The sequence below is a fragment of the Homo sapiens genome, chromosome 12 (genome assembly GCF_000001405.40).
Source record: "Homo sapiens chromosome 12, GRCh38.p14 Primary Assembly".
NCBI lineage: Eukaryota > Metazoa > Chordata > Mammalia > Primates > Hominidae > Homo > Homo sapiens.
In genome coordinates this window covers 80,312,373-80,328,213 of record NC_000012.12, presented here as the reverse complement: position 1 = coordinate 80,328,213, position 15,841 = coordinate 80,312,373, and the positions used below count along the sequence as shown (strand labels likewise).

General features: G+C 35.9%; 1 protein-coding gene across 7 annotated transcripts in view, besides 1 other annotated feature; it reads right to left on the bottom strand.

The window, feature by feature from the left end:
• Positions 1-15,841, bottom strand: part of OTOGL (otogelin like) — a 281,344-nt gene that overhangs the window by 52,667 nt on the left and 212,836 nt on the right. For all 7 annotated transcript variants that reach the window (NM_001368062.3, NM_001378610.3, NM_001378609.3 and 4 more), the window contains 5 exons: positions 14,582-14,738; positions 13,883-13,909; positions 9,501-9,668; positions 7,514-7,792; positions 4,374-4,491 (listed from right to left, as the gene is read on the bottom strand). In NM_001368062.3, the coding sequence (NP_001354991.2) occupies positions 4,374-4,491; positions 7,514-7,792; positions 9,501-9,668; positions 13,883-13,909; positions 14,582-14,738 (749 nt within the window). The remainder of the gene's footprint in view (positions 1-4,373; positions 4,492-7,513; positions 7,793-9,500; positions 9,669-13,882; positions 13,910-14,581; positions 14,739-15,841) is intronic.
• Positions 7,479-8,012: an enhancer, noted in NCBI's record as "OCT4-NANOG hESC enhancer chr12:80713982-80714515 (GRCh37/hg19 assembly coordinates)". NCBI's record gives its function as "activates a minimal SCP1, AML or CMV promoter by ChIP-STARR-seq in naive H9 embryonic stem cells {active_cell/tissue: H9 hESC(naive)}" and the evidence as "EXISTENCE:reporter gene assay evidence [ECO:0000049][PMID:30033119]".

Below are 15,841 nucleotides of genomic sequence, written 5' to 3'. Positions count from 1 at the left end.
CTGAGTAGCTTGGACTACAGGCATGTGTCATCATGCCTGGCTAATTTTTTCTATTTTTTTGTAGAGATGAGGTTTCGTCATGTTGCCCAGGCTGATCTTGAATTCCTGGGCTCAAGCAATCAGCCCACCTCAGCCTCCCAAAGCTCTGGGATTACAGGCATTAGCCCTGGCACCTGGCCAATTTATTGAGATTTTAATCTGTATTGATTGTACTGTTGCTTTCCACTCTTTTTTTTTTTTTTTTTTTTTTTTTTTGAGACAGAGTCTCGCTCTGTCACCCAGGCTGGAGTGCAGTGGCGCGATCTCGGCTCACTGCAATCTCCGCCTCCCGGATTCATGCCATTCTCCTGCCTCAGCCTCCCAAGTAGCTGGGACTACAGGCACCCGCCACCACACCCGGCTAATTTTTTGTATTTTTAGTAGAGATGGGGTTTCACCATGTTAGCCAGGATGGTCTCGATCTCCTGACCTCATGATCCACCCGTCTCAGCTTCCCAAAGTGCTGGGATTACAGGCGTGAACCACCGTGCCCGGCCCGCTTTCCACTCTTATACTCCCCTCACATCCAAGCAGATTGGCATGCTCTTTGACACTATCATTGCCTTGACGGTGTTTGTAGAACAAATACAGAATCTTCAGTGGCTCTCCCTGCCTGTTATTAATCCTAAACTCACTGAAAAGATATTAGTGATCTCTAGGTGGAAGGGATGATCATGGTTGCAGTTCTTTTGAGAACAGGGAGAGGAAGGAGCAGAAGCTATCGTTTTCAAGAAAATTAGGACCTGTGCCCAAATCTGGGGCAGTGCCCTGGAAGGACATGGTTGTATGACAGCCTGAAAAGATTCTATTTCAAGCCCTAGGATGTCTGGACTTGGTAAGAATCCCTGGTCCTTGTTTGGAGCACAGAAGACAAGGGAAAGTCTCAAATTTCAAGAGGCCATGTTGTGGGCCAAAGACAGGAGGGAACATGAGAATGCTTTTCTTCTAAAGGAATGGAGACAAAATAATGACTGAGAGTACATTTTTCTATGTCCATTTAAGGCTCAGAGTTCAATTTATTCTAAATCAAAGGAAAAAAATATAATCCTTCAGGTGCAACCAACTCTAATTATTATATTACTACATACTACAGAGAATTCATGCAGATATTGTTATAAAAAGGCTTGCTCATCTGCCTCTAGAATATACTAGCAGTTTTAAATAATATATTTACAAATTTTAAAAACATTTCCATTGCCTCATCTGTAAAGAATTTGAATTAAAGTGTTGAAGGCCTCGTTTCATTCCAGATGGAAACAAACTAACTCGGCACTAAAGGTAAATGCTGCTCAGAAGACCCTTGTTCTTGGAGGCAAATCCAGGCAACACTTTTTAAAGACAAGAAAAGTTAACTTCTGTCTTAATGAGGTTTAATGAAACACATTTAGCCATCTCTTGGATACCTCCTTCACAATTGATTTTTTAAAAACATAAACAACTTAGCTTATATAACTAATTATTTATTTCATAAAATGAAGTTGAGTAATAAAACTTTAACTAGCATATGACATTCTTATTTTAAACTTTGTGAAGTGGAAGAAAAAAGAAAAAGGAAAGTTACTGGATCACTGACAGACAAGGGCTAGTTAGTTATTATTTAATTGGGTCAAAATCAATTTTTATGCAAACAATTATTTTGCAGTTGTTTTATGCAAGTCAAAACCACAGCCATCCTTGTACAATACTTTTTAAAAAACTATTAACCTGTTCCTTAAAATGTCTTTATCATCAACATAGCAGGTTTGCTTTCTTTTATCATACAATTGGTATTCTACTCAACTTCTAACTGATAAGTTTAATGCCTCAGATGCAGAATGGTTCTCATAATAGGCATATTAGATAATAGGAATAACAGTATTTACATATGTGCTCTATGGTATGTTACTTGGCAGCTTTTCTCGTAAAAGCTCTAATTTTCATGAAACATTTTTATCTAAACACTTGCTATGTGCCAGAAACTGCAATCACCTAGAACAAGAGTGCTGGTTATGTCGCGGACTTGGAGGAGGGGGCACAGGGGCATACTGAAACCCCAGCTCAGTATTTGAGTCCTTCCTCAAGTACTGCAGGTATAAGGAGCAATAATTAGCCACTTTGGCACAACGAAAGCAAAAAGGAGAAAGAAATGGAGGTAGAGATGAGAATCAGTTTGGCAGGGGCGAAGTTTCATCGTGAGTCTCTTCTCTGCATCCCAAACATACAGAAAGAGAAACTTATGGACAGCTACAGCCCAATACACTGGAAGCATTAAGGATCTGGGTTCCACCACCCCAGAGACTGATCATCCCACGTCATCCCATAAGAAGTCATAAACTAGCCAAATGCCATTTCAAAATATGGCTCAATGTCCTCCCCAGTGCCCTGCCAGCTGTGCCTGCTGCTGTCTTCCTTCCTTCCCCACATGCCCTTCGCATTGCTTAGCCTCACTCCAGGGCCACTGTTACATGCTGTCATCCTGATGGCTACCAGAAGAGGCAGGAAATAGATTTGTGAGTGGGAGAAGCTCAAATGAATGAAGACTTCTTTTCAGAAGAAAATGAGTGATTGTTTTTATTTTTAAGACACTAAACAGTAATATCATTTTCTTCCCTCTGATCTCACAGCACTTGACAAACAACAGGGTGTAGCAGTCCAAACCCTGGCACTAATGCTTACAAACTGTGTGACCAGGGCAAACTGTGTAGCTTCTCTGTGCCTCGGTTGGTTTTCTCCTCTGGGAATAGGAATACTGAGATTAACCATTTTACAGCACTTGGCACAGTTCATGTTTATTGTAAATACTTAAATGTGTTAGCTGTTGTTTTTACCCCTCAAGGCCTCCCTAGGCCATTTCCCAATGTATTAAGATTGTTTTCTTTTGTTTCTGTTTCCTTCCAAAGACTGTGCACTCCTCGAGAGAGGGGCTGGATCTTACAGAGGGGCTGGATCTTACCTATTGGCAACATTTGCCATAGATCTCACAGATCTTACAGAGGGGCTGGATCTTACAGAGGGGCTGGATCTTACCTATTGGCAACATTTGCCATAGAATAGAACCTCATAATTGTTCAATCAATTGTAAAATGATTCTCATAAAAATATTCTCTCCTACTATTGATCCATATCTCCTTTATGGAAAATTCTTATATTATTAAAAAAAAAAAGCTGTTTATACTCTCTGTCTCTGTTTTGTCTCTTCCTATTTTCTGACTTGCTAAATCCAATGAACAATTTTCCATATCAAACTCCAGATCCTGAAAACCAAATTCCTGACCTTTCCTCCGAACTGTTTCTTCTAACATCTTCCTTATCTCATTAAATGCAGTTCTATTAGATCAAATCATTTGAAATTACTGCTATTTGACCAATTTGGCTACCAAAAATGGCAAAACTTCATAGTATTTCACCTAATAACTGCTGAGGCCAAAACTTGATTCTTTAACTCTTCCTTCTCTCATAAATGATATTAAATCTGTTTGTTCCTCATAACCTCTCGGGCCACCAACCTGGTCAAATCCCCTTCATTTCTTGTCTGTATCACCGATCAAGTCTGCCCTGTCCTCCTCTCCTCCAACAGCCCATTCTCAATACAACAGGCAAAGTACACCTTTTAAAACATAAATCAGATCATGCCACTCAGCTGCCTAAAATGCAGCCAGGTCTCCTATCTTACAGTAAAAGACAAAGTCCTTACAACAGGCTACAAAGCCTTATATGATTTGCCCACTAATATGATTCTCTGGTCTCATCTCCCACTTCTCTCCATTTTGCTCACTTTGTTCTAACTTATGACCTCCTTGCTGATCCTCGAACACACCAAACACATTCCCACTCCAAGACCTTTGCACTGTTCTCAAATTAAAGATTCTTCCCCAGATATCCACCTGGCCAGTGCCTTCACTACATTTAGATCTCTGACCAGATGTCACCTTGTCAGGGTGCTCTTCACTGACCACCAACATTAATTGGCAAACACACACACATGCCTTATGCTCTCTGTCTCCCTTACCTTCCTTTATTTTTCTCTGTAACACATATCCGCCATAACAATATGTTGCATTATATATTTACATTTTTGTTTGGTTATTTTCTGCTCAATCCAACAATATGTAAGCTTCATGAGGGCAAGTACTTGTCTATTTTGTTCAGTACTGTCTCCCCAGCAGCAAGAAGATTGCCTGCCACATAGTAGGCTCTCAATAACTACTTCTTGATTTAAGCGAAATTAATATCATGAAAGAATATATAGCATATACAACTTGAGAATGGCTGTTTTTAAAATCTTGAAAAAAATCAACTGAAAACAGAATTTGCTAAGGCTGGACTTTGATCACTTATTGGTAAACGTTACTTACGGTGGAAGAAATTTACATGCTAGTGCTTCAGGGTCACTACATGTTTTAAAACAGGGTGTAGCACAAGGTTCATATCTCCATTCACACATCTTCCTGTAAGGCACTGCTGCCTGGATTTCTGGGAAAAAATAAAGTTTAGATTGTGTGCATATTTAATACATAGCTTGAAAACTAACAATTCCCTTTTCTTTCTTGAGACAGTCTCGCTCTGTCACTCAGGCTCGAGCGCAGTGGCACTATTTCGATTCACCACAACCTCTGCCTCCTGGGTTCAAGTGACTGTCGTGCCTCAGCCTCCCAAGTAGGTGATACTACAAGCACATGCCACCACACCCAGTTAATTTTTATATTTTTAATAGAGACGGGGTTTTGCCTTGTTGACCAGAATGGTCTCGAATTCCTAACCTCAGGTGATCCACCCGCTTTAGTCTCCCAAAGTGCTGGGATTACAGGTGTGAGCCACTGCACCTGGCCAAAAACTAACAGTTTCTTATATGAACCCTCCTAGGGTTTGACCCTTCTTTGACTACAATGCTACAGGAAAGACAGAACTGAAGAAAAAACACTGTAATTGCTTGGTGACCAAAGCATTTCATGCTCAGATTAAATATCTACATGTACACCTATCTTCCAAAGATTTAAAAAAGCAAGTGGTTGGAGGAGGCTGAGGAAAATTCAAAATATTTTATATATGTGTGTGTGTGTGTGTGTGTGTGTGTGTGTGTGTGTGTGTGTGTGTGTGTAGTGGGTTTTCATCTGTCTTCACATCATAATACCAAACACTTGTTTAGAATTTTACTTTCTGCAAAGTAATTGTCCATCCATTATTCTATTTTATCCTGCAACAACCCTATTAAGTAGATATTATTTCTAATTTATAAATGAGGAAATTGAGACTCACAGCAGCCAAGAAACTTGCCAAGTTCAAACAATTAGAAAAATGGCAAGACCAAATACATTTCATGAACTCAAATCTAGGAAGAATATTCTGTTGCTGTTCTCAGAAAACTTAGCACGTTGCCTTGTACCAGATAAGTATTGTTTGAATACAACAAAATATATGGGCGGATTTGAAAAATACATGCATACAGTTCTAAAACCTCCCTTGATTGAAGTTTTTCTCCTGCAAGGTCTGCTAATACTCTCACCTTCCCACAGCATAGAGAAGTCCTTTTGTAGCAGTTCAAAGCTATCTCTGAACAAGAGAACCTCTTAAGAAAGAAAATTCAGGAAGCAGGTATGTTTCTTGGACTCTGGACACAGAATTCAATTCCAAATTACAGCAAGGAAAATAAGTCTTTTTGGAAAGCATCTATACATCTAAAGACTTAAGTAATTGCTGAACTTGAGTTACTCGTCTCACGCATCCTGAAAGAGGACTGGTTCCAAGACTACAATAGGCTCCTGGAGTTTCCTAGGTTTCAGAAGCCCACAAAGATCAGCTTCTGATATTCTGATGATGCCATGTGCTGCAGTTCTCTAAGCCTCAAATGGGGCTACTAGGTCTGGTTCTAAGGGCACAGATTTCTAGAGCAGAGGGGAAATAGAGGCCTGTAAAGGTCAACGGTAGGTAAACTGAAGTAAGCAAATCACATCCACTGTATGGAATGCTATATAGATATGTCAGTGGTTCCTTTTCTCAAGAGCACAGTGTAGGAGGACAGCTCTCCCCTTGGTTCTCCTTGCTTTCTCTCTCCCACTTGCAGATCTCAAAACAACTGCAAAATGTTCTGAGGGTTATCCTGAGGTAAGGAGGAATCTTCTGAAACAATCCAGGCTCTGTTGCCATTCCCAACAGGATGTCCTGCAAAGTGTGTGCTCGGTGATTCCAGTTGCACCTGAAGTATCAAATCCAGGGCAGAGTGCTTTCAGGGTCCCTCAGCTGCAGTGCAACCTGGAGCATGTGCAGACAAGATTCAGTTCACCCTGGGCTTTTCTGAGCCTAGAGGACTGGCTCACCATGAATCCTAGGCTTCTGTTGATTCTTGCTGCCTGTCTGTTAAGTAATAAAATTCCTTTGCCTGACTTGTTTTGTGAGTATGTCACCACACTAAAGAATGTATGTCACCACACCTAAGAATGCAAATGGTAGAGATATTAGAGCTTCTTTTTCTTTGTTCTGAGCTCGTTGCCAGAGTAAGAACCCTTGCAGAATTCTGGCATCTGGGTTTGCACAAAACCTCCTGCCAGACTTAGGAATCTTTGCATAGAAGAACTGTATTCAATAGGTAAAATTTTTTTTTATTTTTTATTTTTTTATTTTTTATTATACTTTCAGTTTTAGGGTACATGTGCACAACGTGCATATTTGTTACATATGTATACATGTGCGATGTTGGTGTGCTGCACCCATTAACTTGTCATTTAACATTAGGTATTTTGAAGCTCAATTTGTACTGTTTAAAATCTATTATTAGAAGGGCTTGCAGAAATATATTCTCAACAGAAAAGGCAAATTAGTTGCTGTCTTGAACTCCTTTAGGAGGGTTCACAAGGATGAAACGATTTCTTGAGGAGACTCAAGATAGATATCAAGCTTCTGGATTTTGAAAAGAAAGCATGACTTTTAAACACTGCATAAAGGAGTGAAGCTTGCTGCAGAAAATTCAATAGCTATAGACCTCAAAGGCTCTCTAGAAGTAAGATTAGGTTTCTGCTGAACTAGAGAAATCTTCTAGAGGTCAATGGAAACAGACACCTTGTATTCAAATGACAGAAGTAAATATATTGTCCTTATCACTAAGAATCAGATAAATTAGAGTTGCCTTCTAGGAAAGAAAAAGGAGATATAAACATTAGACAACTAAGCCACATGAGTGAGCCCTGATTCCAATGTCCAGACAGCACTGGTAGTAATAATTGGGGTAATAATAATAAAAAATCAGGTTATTTAGGATTGTTCTAAGTAATTTACATCAACTTATTCAATACTCACCATAACCCGATAAAGTACATATTATTATTTCTCCAATACGTATATTGGAGATATAGAGGGGTATAGAGGTTAAGACACTTACTTAAGGTCATAAAAGTCTATCTGCTTATATGCAGTAAGAATGGTTTTTAAATTAAAGACATAAATATTCTGCCTAATATAAATTACCTATTTGTTCTCTTTTTGGAGATCTCAGGAAACATACCTTCTATGCTGAAGCTACTTGAATGTTTAAATTCTTCAGAATCATCATATTTTGATGCTTTGACACTAGAATCTGTGAATATGATGAAAAAGCCTTTCTTGCTGTATAACTCAAATGCACTGTAACCAGGAATCCAGAGGCCCTGATGGTGGAAAAATGTTGCTCTCCGATGAAAGGCTGAATTCGCCTCCCACAGCTCCAAGCTAAGAGTATCATTGTCATGGACATAGAGAAAGTAGTTTGGCCTTTCAGCAGATTCCAAGGAAACAAGTGCTAATGCTGTAAAATATAGAGCAGTGTGGATTCTCAGGAGAAGGAAGATCATCAACATTGGCATCACAAAATGTACTTATAAAGTAAACAAAATAGTACTGCACAATTGCCAAACATAATTAGTGCCAATAACTAAGATTTCACAAATAAACTAGGAGATGCTTGAAAGAAGAAAAAAAAAAGTAGTACTTTAAATTCAGTGAATAACAGTGATATCACTAAAAAAAAAAATCAGTCTTTGGTAACTTCTATTTTTTTAATAATTTATTTTGTCCTTGGGGGAAAAAAGGAAATGTCAATGAGGACTCCAGAATGTACAATTTCATACAAGAAATTGAATGATTAATTGGACATATATTTGCGTTTGCAAGCTTTAACATTTACAAATGTACAAAACCTACTAATGGCTAAACTTGATGATAGAAAAGAGAATACAGAAATAGATCAATTTAGGGATGTAACTGCATTTCAGTATCACAGGGCTCTTTTAATGAGCAAATGTTCTTGAAAGAGATCTTACTGCACCAAGAAGAGACTATTTATCCAACATTATTGTCCATTTCCCAAAAGATGACCAAATGGCTAATGAGCTTTACAAAGCATTGAAAAATTATCACCCTTTTTCAGCTAGAGCTTTTAACATTTACCTTATATTTGTAAAACTCATGAAATAAAAGTTTTTAAATTGAGATTATTTTAGGTTGATTTTCTTCAATAAACATTATTTGGATTTTTTCTAGTAAAATCATTAGTTATTACTAATCGTAAAATCAAGAGCTCTCCCAAATTCAATATTATTTCAAAGGCATTTATCATGTTGTAAAATTTAAGTTCTTCTGCTGAGCACCAAAAGATGCCAAGAATAATAAATTTTTACATGAGAAAAAAATGTAACCAGCGTAATTTAGAACTTGATGGTGATAGGTGTTTTCAGAACTAAGAGAGTTCTTTTTACAGGAAATATATAATTTATTCTAACTGGAGAATTGTGAGCATTCTCAGAATAAGCGAAAGTTAAGTCTGATTGATTCATCCAACAAATAAATTCCTAAGCTTATACAACATGTCATGCATGGTTCCAGGTAGACTTATGTAGACATGAGGTAGCCTGAACATCACTGGATCAGAAGGGAAACTACCACCAATCAGAACAGGTGCCAGGTGGATACAACCAGTACAGACCTGCAGGTGCAAACCAGTAAATGTAGAGCTAGGTTCAGGGCACTGAGGACATGTCCAGGAACTAGGACAGACAAGGCAGGTAAGGATAACAGAATAACAGACTGTCACAATGACTGTCTACACTCTGATTTATGCTCTTCATGTAGAACTTCTTTGGTATCAATTCACAATTTGCTTTTACTTTTGGGGGCATAAAACCTTTCAAATATTAAGAATCAGTGGATGGTTTTTCAAAAACATCAAATTAAGTTCTGTGATTAATACTATGAAAATTTTAGCTATATTTTATTTAAAACCAAAAACTCAAACATTTGCAATTCTAATATATATATGCCAATAAATAAACAAAGAAATGATTTTGTATACAAAAGAGAAAGCTGGCTGATATGCCAATGTTATATTTTATTTCATATGCTTTAGAGCACTTTTAAAAAATACCATAAACATATTAGATTCTCAATTAATATTTACTGAGTGGCTAAATTTTAAAATGTAATTGGAAAGCTAAACTCTTATTTTCAATTATACTTACATGATACCTTCTCTTTGAAAAGGCCTGGAGTGATCATAAAATAAAAAAATAAACTGGTATGAACACTGCTTCTCGGCAAACAGAAAACGCTTCTGCTGGTCATATTGGCCCCCAGAACAAGGCCACTCTGCCCATAGCTTGCCAGCATATATGGTCCTTCTCCAAGTCCTAGTTAAATATAAATATTAGAATTATAAATTGGCATAGATTTTTAAAATTTCAATCTGTCATTTCAAAGAAATGTTTTAATAACAAAATACTTCAAAAATTGAGCAATTAAAAATTTATCACTAATAAAATAACTGAATTCTTCAAAAATAATGATTTATATATATAATGATGTATATGTAGATGTTCGTGTTGTAGGTTATGCAAAATGTTGATATACACGTGATCAGTTGTTTCATAAAGGTTTAATCTTACTGCACTCAGTGTATTTTACTTTCCCTCTTCTCCCAGTTTTACCTCAAAGCCAATTTAACTCAATACATGCTGAAGAAGGAGAAAAAAGATTCAAAGAATATAAGGGCAAGACTTTTTTCCCCTTAAGGACTTAAGACCGGGCCTAAATAAAGGGGAAAGGATAATTGGATTGGAGGGATAAGAAGTCTTCCAATTAGGAAAGGGGAAGGAGAACCAAAATTTCCATCACAAGGACAAGGAGAAGAACAAAAAGACTGAGAGGATACATTATTTTCAAGTGTAATCTCCTCACTGACCCATCATCTGGGACACAGCACCATTGAGCAGCTGGGGACCCTTATAAACTATGAGAAAAAGAGCTTCACTAGGGACTTTGGTACCCTGTAGAGAGATAGAAACCTGAAACAGCTTTGCCCCCACATCAAGGTGGAGCTGAGCAGAAACAGTGGACAATTTTTCTTAGCCTGGCTGCAGGAGACTCACCACCATGGTTACAAATGTTACAAATGCAGTGTTTCTCCATGAGCCAAAATACAGGAGGACCAAAGAAAATTATAGCAATAGTCTCTACCTGGTAATGGCTAATTTTCTAGCATGGACAAGAGGAAAGTGACAAAAACCTCCAAGATGCAAATATACTTCAAAGTATAAATATGTAGATTTGTACAAATATGTGAATAATATACAAATAATAAGTGAATTATAATGAGATACAATTCAGAATGGAGAAGATGTGTATGCAACTACAACTTGAGGACTTGAAGCACCCTCATGAATATTCAACATAAGAATGAGAAAGGAGACAGAGAAACAAAATCTCTCCCCTGCTGCACACACCCCTTAATACAGCAACCTGAAGAGACAATTGCCAACAAGAAATCTGTTTGTATAAAAACCTAAAGCTTTTGAATTGACTCTCAGTTAATTGGTAGCTTGATTCTGGACTATTTTCACCAGCAACTGGGAGACAAAAGTCATTGATCTTATCATTAATTTTCTGCATGGAGAAGTATAATTTCACCATCTACTGAAAGCAATCATTTCCTGCAGTGATTCTTTAAAAACAGAAATAAGCATATCCTATCTAATAAAATTACCCTGAACTTAAAACTCACATAACAATTTTTAGTAGGAAACTGAAGTTCTCCCTCACCTACAGAAATAGCATTTCAAATGCAAGCTTTACATTTTTAGTAAAAGTCATATAAATGAACACAAACATATTATATAGAATCATTGTGCTAAAGATTATTGAAATAATCTCAGCAATAACCTTTGAATTCTTCTACTACTTTTTAAAATTCTTCCTACAGAATCACAATTACTTATTTATGTATGTGCTTTAAATATTATAAGTATCTTAATAACATAGTGTCTGGCATGTAACAAATAAAGACAGGTAGAAATATGCCAGCTATAAATGCCCAAAAAGGACTAGGTAAATTTATGATAGCTGTGAAATTTATTTGGGATGAAACAAATTAAGAATAACCATTTAGAATTATTTTCTATTTATTATCACTTTCCACAATCATCACAGTTTTATATTCCCCTTCAACGTCTATCACTGTTGCATTGCTTTTACAAATTCTGACGCCCCTTGGCACATTGATGCGTTTCTCCATTACTTTGATCATAGTAAATTTATTTGCCTGCCACTCCATGGAGCCAAACAGTGTCTCACAAAGGCCAAATGCCCCATGTTCATGCTCTGATATTATCAATACGGTATTACAAATGAAACTAGAAGAACAGGTTTGAAGGATTCTGTAACACATTAGAAGAATGAACCATCACTAGAAGCTCAGCAGACTTGTTAACAGAGAGCAAAATGTAGCAAGTAGCAAGAGGTAGAGAGATTCAATATGCATAGAAAATTCTGCTTCTGGGTCCACAAGTCTGCAGGAGAAATGCCAGAAAATACAAAGGCACAGATGGAGATTGTCATAACAGAACTGGGTGTGACAGGAATTTTTGAGTGAGGAAGTTATTGGAGCATTTTCTCAGATTGTTGTCTGTGCACATTATGTAGAACCTGTGATGACAATGTGCGGTGATCATCCCTACACTAGGATGTATTAACCATACAGTAGGCCACGTAGCATGGAGGTCATGCTCACTGGCCCTGAAGCCAAATTGTTCACAAATCCCAGTTTGCCACATTTTGGCCAAGTGAATTTGGCAAAGCTATTTAATCTCTCTCTGCTTCAATTTCCTCTGAAAGTGTTGATAATAGCAAAATGCAGATAATAAAATAAAATAATGACATATTTTGAAGTTTAAATTATATGATCTAGAGAAAGCAGTTAACACAACAAAAGCTACTGTTGTTATTATTAGACAATAAATCACATTTTAATTATGGAATCCAAAGATTGATGTGAAGTGTGTGTTTGTGTGTGCGTGTATGCATGCACGTGTGTGGCAGTCTCTTTAAAATCTTGAACAGGACATAATTTTAGTTCGATTTTCTTTAACTACCACAGATATTTTTTAATGTTGAATTTTCCTCCTCTATCAAACTTCTATAAATGTAACAAATACAACTAAAATCAAAAATGCCCATTTTCTTTTTAATTCATTATCTCTTTTTCTCTAAAATTATCTAGCTGACAAATTTCTCCAACAAGCCACCTGAAGTGCCTCAGATTGGTTGCTTGGCCAAGATTTCCTGTAACTATTATTCTAACTGACACATCCATCATGGATCCAGAGTTCACCCATTTACTGACAAAATGGATACTTCCCTAGATCACCTTACTTGTCTGAATTAGGTTTTGAGGCCTGCGCCTTCCTCATTAAATAGATTTGCAAAAAGACTCCAATTCTGCTATCTTCAAGTAATTTCACTAAAAATGTAATTCTCTGTCTCTTCTTACATCTATACCTTAGTTTTAGACAGCAGCACCTCTCAGATTTCTTATTGCAAATCTGGATGTTTGCTGAGATTAGAAGATTTTCATTATTATTGTATCAATAAGTTCTTATCCTGGTAATATGTAAGAATGACTTTTGCCTACAATGATGGCAAAATAAATTCCTTACATTATTTCTTATGTCACTGCATTTATACTTTGTTTCTTTGATTTCCACAACATAAGAAAATTGTGAATATAGTCACCACGCTGTGTAATAGATACCAGAACTTATTCCTCCTACCTAGCTGAAACTTTGTGCCCTTTGACCAACATCTGCCCTTTCCCTGCCCACTTCCCAACCACTAGCCTCCAGTAACCACCATTCTATTCTCTACTTCTAAAAATTCAACTTTTTTGGATTTTGCAAATAAGTGAAATCATATGGTATTTGTCTCACTGTGCCTGACTTACTTCACTTAGCATAATGTTCTCTAGGTTCATCCGTGTTGTTGCAAATGATAGAATTTCTTGGTTTTTAAAGAATGAATAGCTAAAAGAAAGAATTTCAAATGTTCTTACCACAAAGCAATGGTAAATATTTGAGGTGATGGATATGCTAATTGGCCTGATTTGATCATTCCACAATGTGTACATGTATCAAAACACTACATTGTACCCCATAAATATATACAATTATATTTGTCAATTTAAAAATAAGATAAAATTTTAAAAAACATTTGAACAATGTTTACATTTATAAATAATGGTAAAGGTATGCATTTGTTATAGATCTTTCATCCTTTTTATCTAAAAAATTAACTAACTTCACCCACCCATTCATTCATGTCATTCCAAAACTGTACTGAGGGCCTCTTAAATTCTGAGAACTTAAGTTACACACTATTTTAGTTTTCAGGAAATAAATCTTAACACAAATACTGAGAAATTTTTGAAAATTTTAAAAATTAAAAGCTTTTATGGAGTTATATAGTTATGAACTATTTATAGTTTGTTCACAGCATAAGTTGTTCAAAAATTTTTAATATGAAAATACACCTAATAGAATACTATAGTGATATTTTTAATTTGAATGTCACATACCTTCATTGTAGTATTCACAATCAAGTGCTAAAAGAAAAAAAGAATAAATATTAAACTATGTAAGAAGTCAATCACTTATCTGAATGTGGGCAAGATATGGCCACATATTTATCAATAACTATGTGAAAGAATATAAAATGGTATTATTTAGGAACTTTTTCTGAGCAAAGAAGATTCTTTAAGCGATATGCTGTAATTAATTAAATTTCATATAATTGTTTTAAAGTAGGAAAATATATTGCCAATTTAGAAACCTCAGCTGAAAGTGTTCAAATTGTAAGTTTGTTCAGATATCTTACCACCTACACAAGTAAATTAAAAGCTTAAAGAGTCAAATCTGAAAGCAAATTCAAGGTGATTTTTTTAAAATATATTTATCATCAGAACGATGAAACTTCATAGGCATAAAAGAAATAAAGTCATAAACAATTTCTCTAAGGATGGTATTTAAATAATTTATATTTCAAATGGTACAATGACAGCAATAAAACACAGAACAAAATATTATCTCACAATTTATTTTTATAAGTCCTTTCGGTATTCTATAATTTATGATTGTCAAAGGAATATAAAATTTAGTCATTTTAATTTAATTCTATTCCCATGAGTCTCCTGGCATTATTTCTAAGCTAAATCAACAATTAATATGTATCTCTTTATCAGTTCTCTACATAATGATGTTCTAAGTAGGGTACTTACAACAAACAGTAGATGATCTCCAATGAATTGATATTCCTTCCTGACAACACTTGTATGCATATGCAGCTATACTAGTGCACAAACACTCACAGTCGCCACCAAGATTGCAGTTACATGTATCTTCATGACAATTTTTGGCAAAAGAAGTAACGTCAATCTGAAAAATGAGGTGAAAGATTACTTAATTTCAATAGATACTGATTATGATTTAAAGTCAACCGTCTAAAAAACTATGTGTTTTCAAAGTTTGATATTATCAGCTTAACACTGCCACCTAGAGAGTTCTCTTTATTTAAAGCCTCTTTATTGCCCAAAGGAGAAAGAAATGTATTAGGAAAATGTCACATCAAAGAACTAGCAAAAGAAATAATAAGATTAATAAATATATATGACTTCAACATCTGCAATATAACAGATTAATTTTTGGAAGCTTCTGTCATTATTGATGTAATCACATGACATTAAAATAAGGGCACCTTCTGCTTCCAATTGTAATTTTATATAATTTCGTATCTTTCTTCCTTCTTTCCTTTCTTTTTTGCCCCTGCTCATGCAACATCCTAATGGCTATTAATGGTAATAGCAATCTTTAAAAACAACTTATTCTATTTACTTAATTTATTTATTTGCATTACATTTAAGTAGCTGACAAAATTTAATATATTGACAGTGCATTAAAAAAGGAGCAAGGGACTCAAGAGGCTGAGGCAGGAGAATCACTTGAACCCGGGAGGCGGAGGTTGCAGTGAGCTGAGATCGCACCACTGCACTCCAGCCTGAGCGACAGAGACTCTGTCTCAAATAAAAAAAAAGAAGAAGAAGAAGAAAAGAAGCAGGATTTGCTGTCACTGAGCTGTATTTTATTTTTTAGGTCAGTTCATGGGTTAATTTTTCTTTTCAAGTGGAAAAGAACCAGCAGGCTCTGTGGTTCAGGACTCCAGACTTGACACAATATTCCTTGTCAAGCAGGTGTGGTCCTTGGAAACTCTGAAAAGTCTCAAAAGCAACCCTTTTTATAAACAAGACTTTAGTCTACCTATGTGGCTCTAATATGGCAGTCCTCAAACTTTTCTGTCTCAGAATCCCTTTACACTCTTAAAAAATCACTGAGATCCCCAAAGAGGTTTTGTTTATGGGATTATATCTACCAATATTTACTCTATTAGACATTAAAAATGAGACATTTAAAAATAACAATAAACCCTATATGTTTACATGAATAACATGATTTTATTGAAAAATATTTATATATGCTAAGAA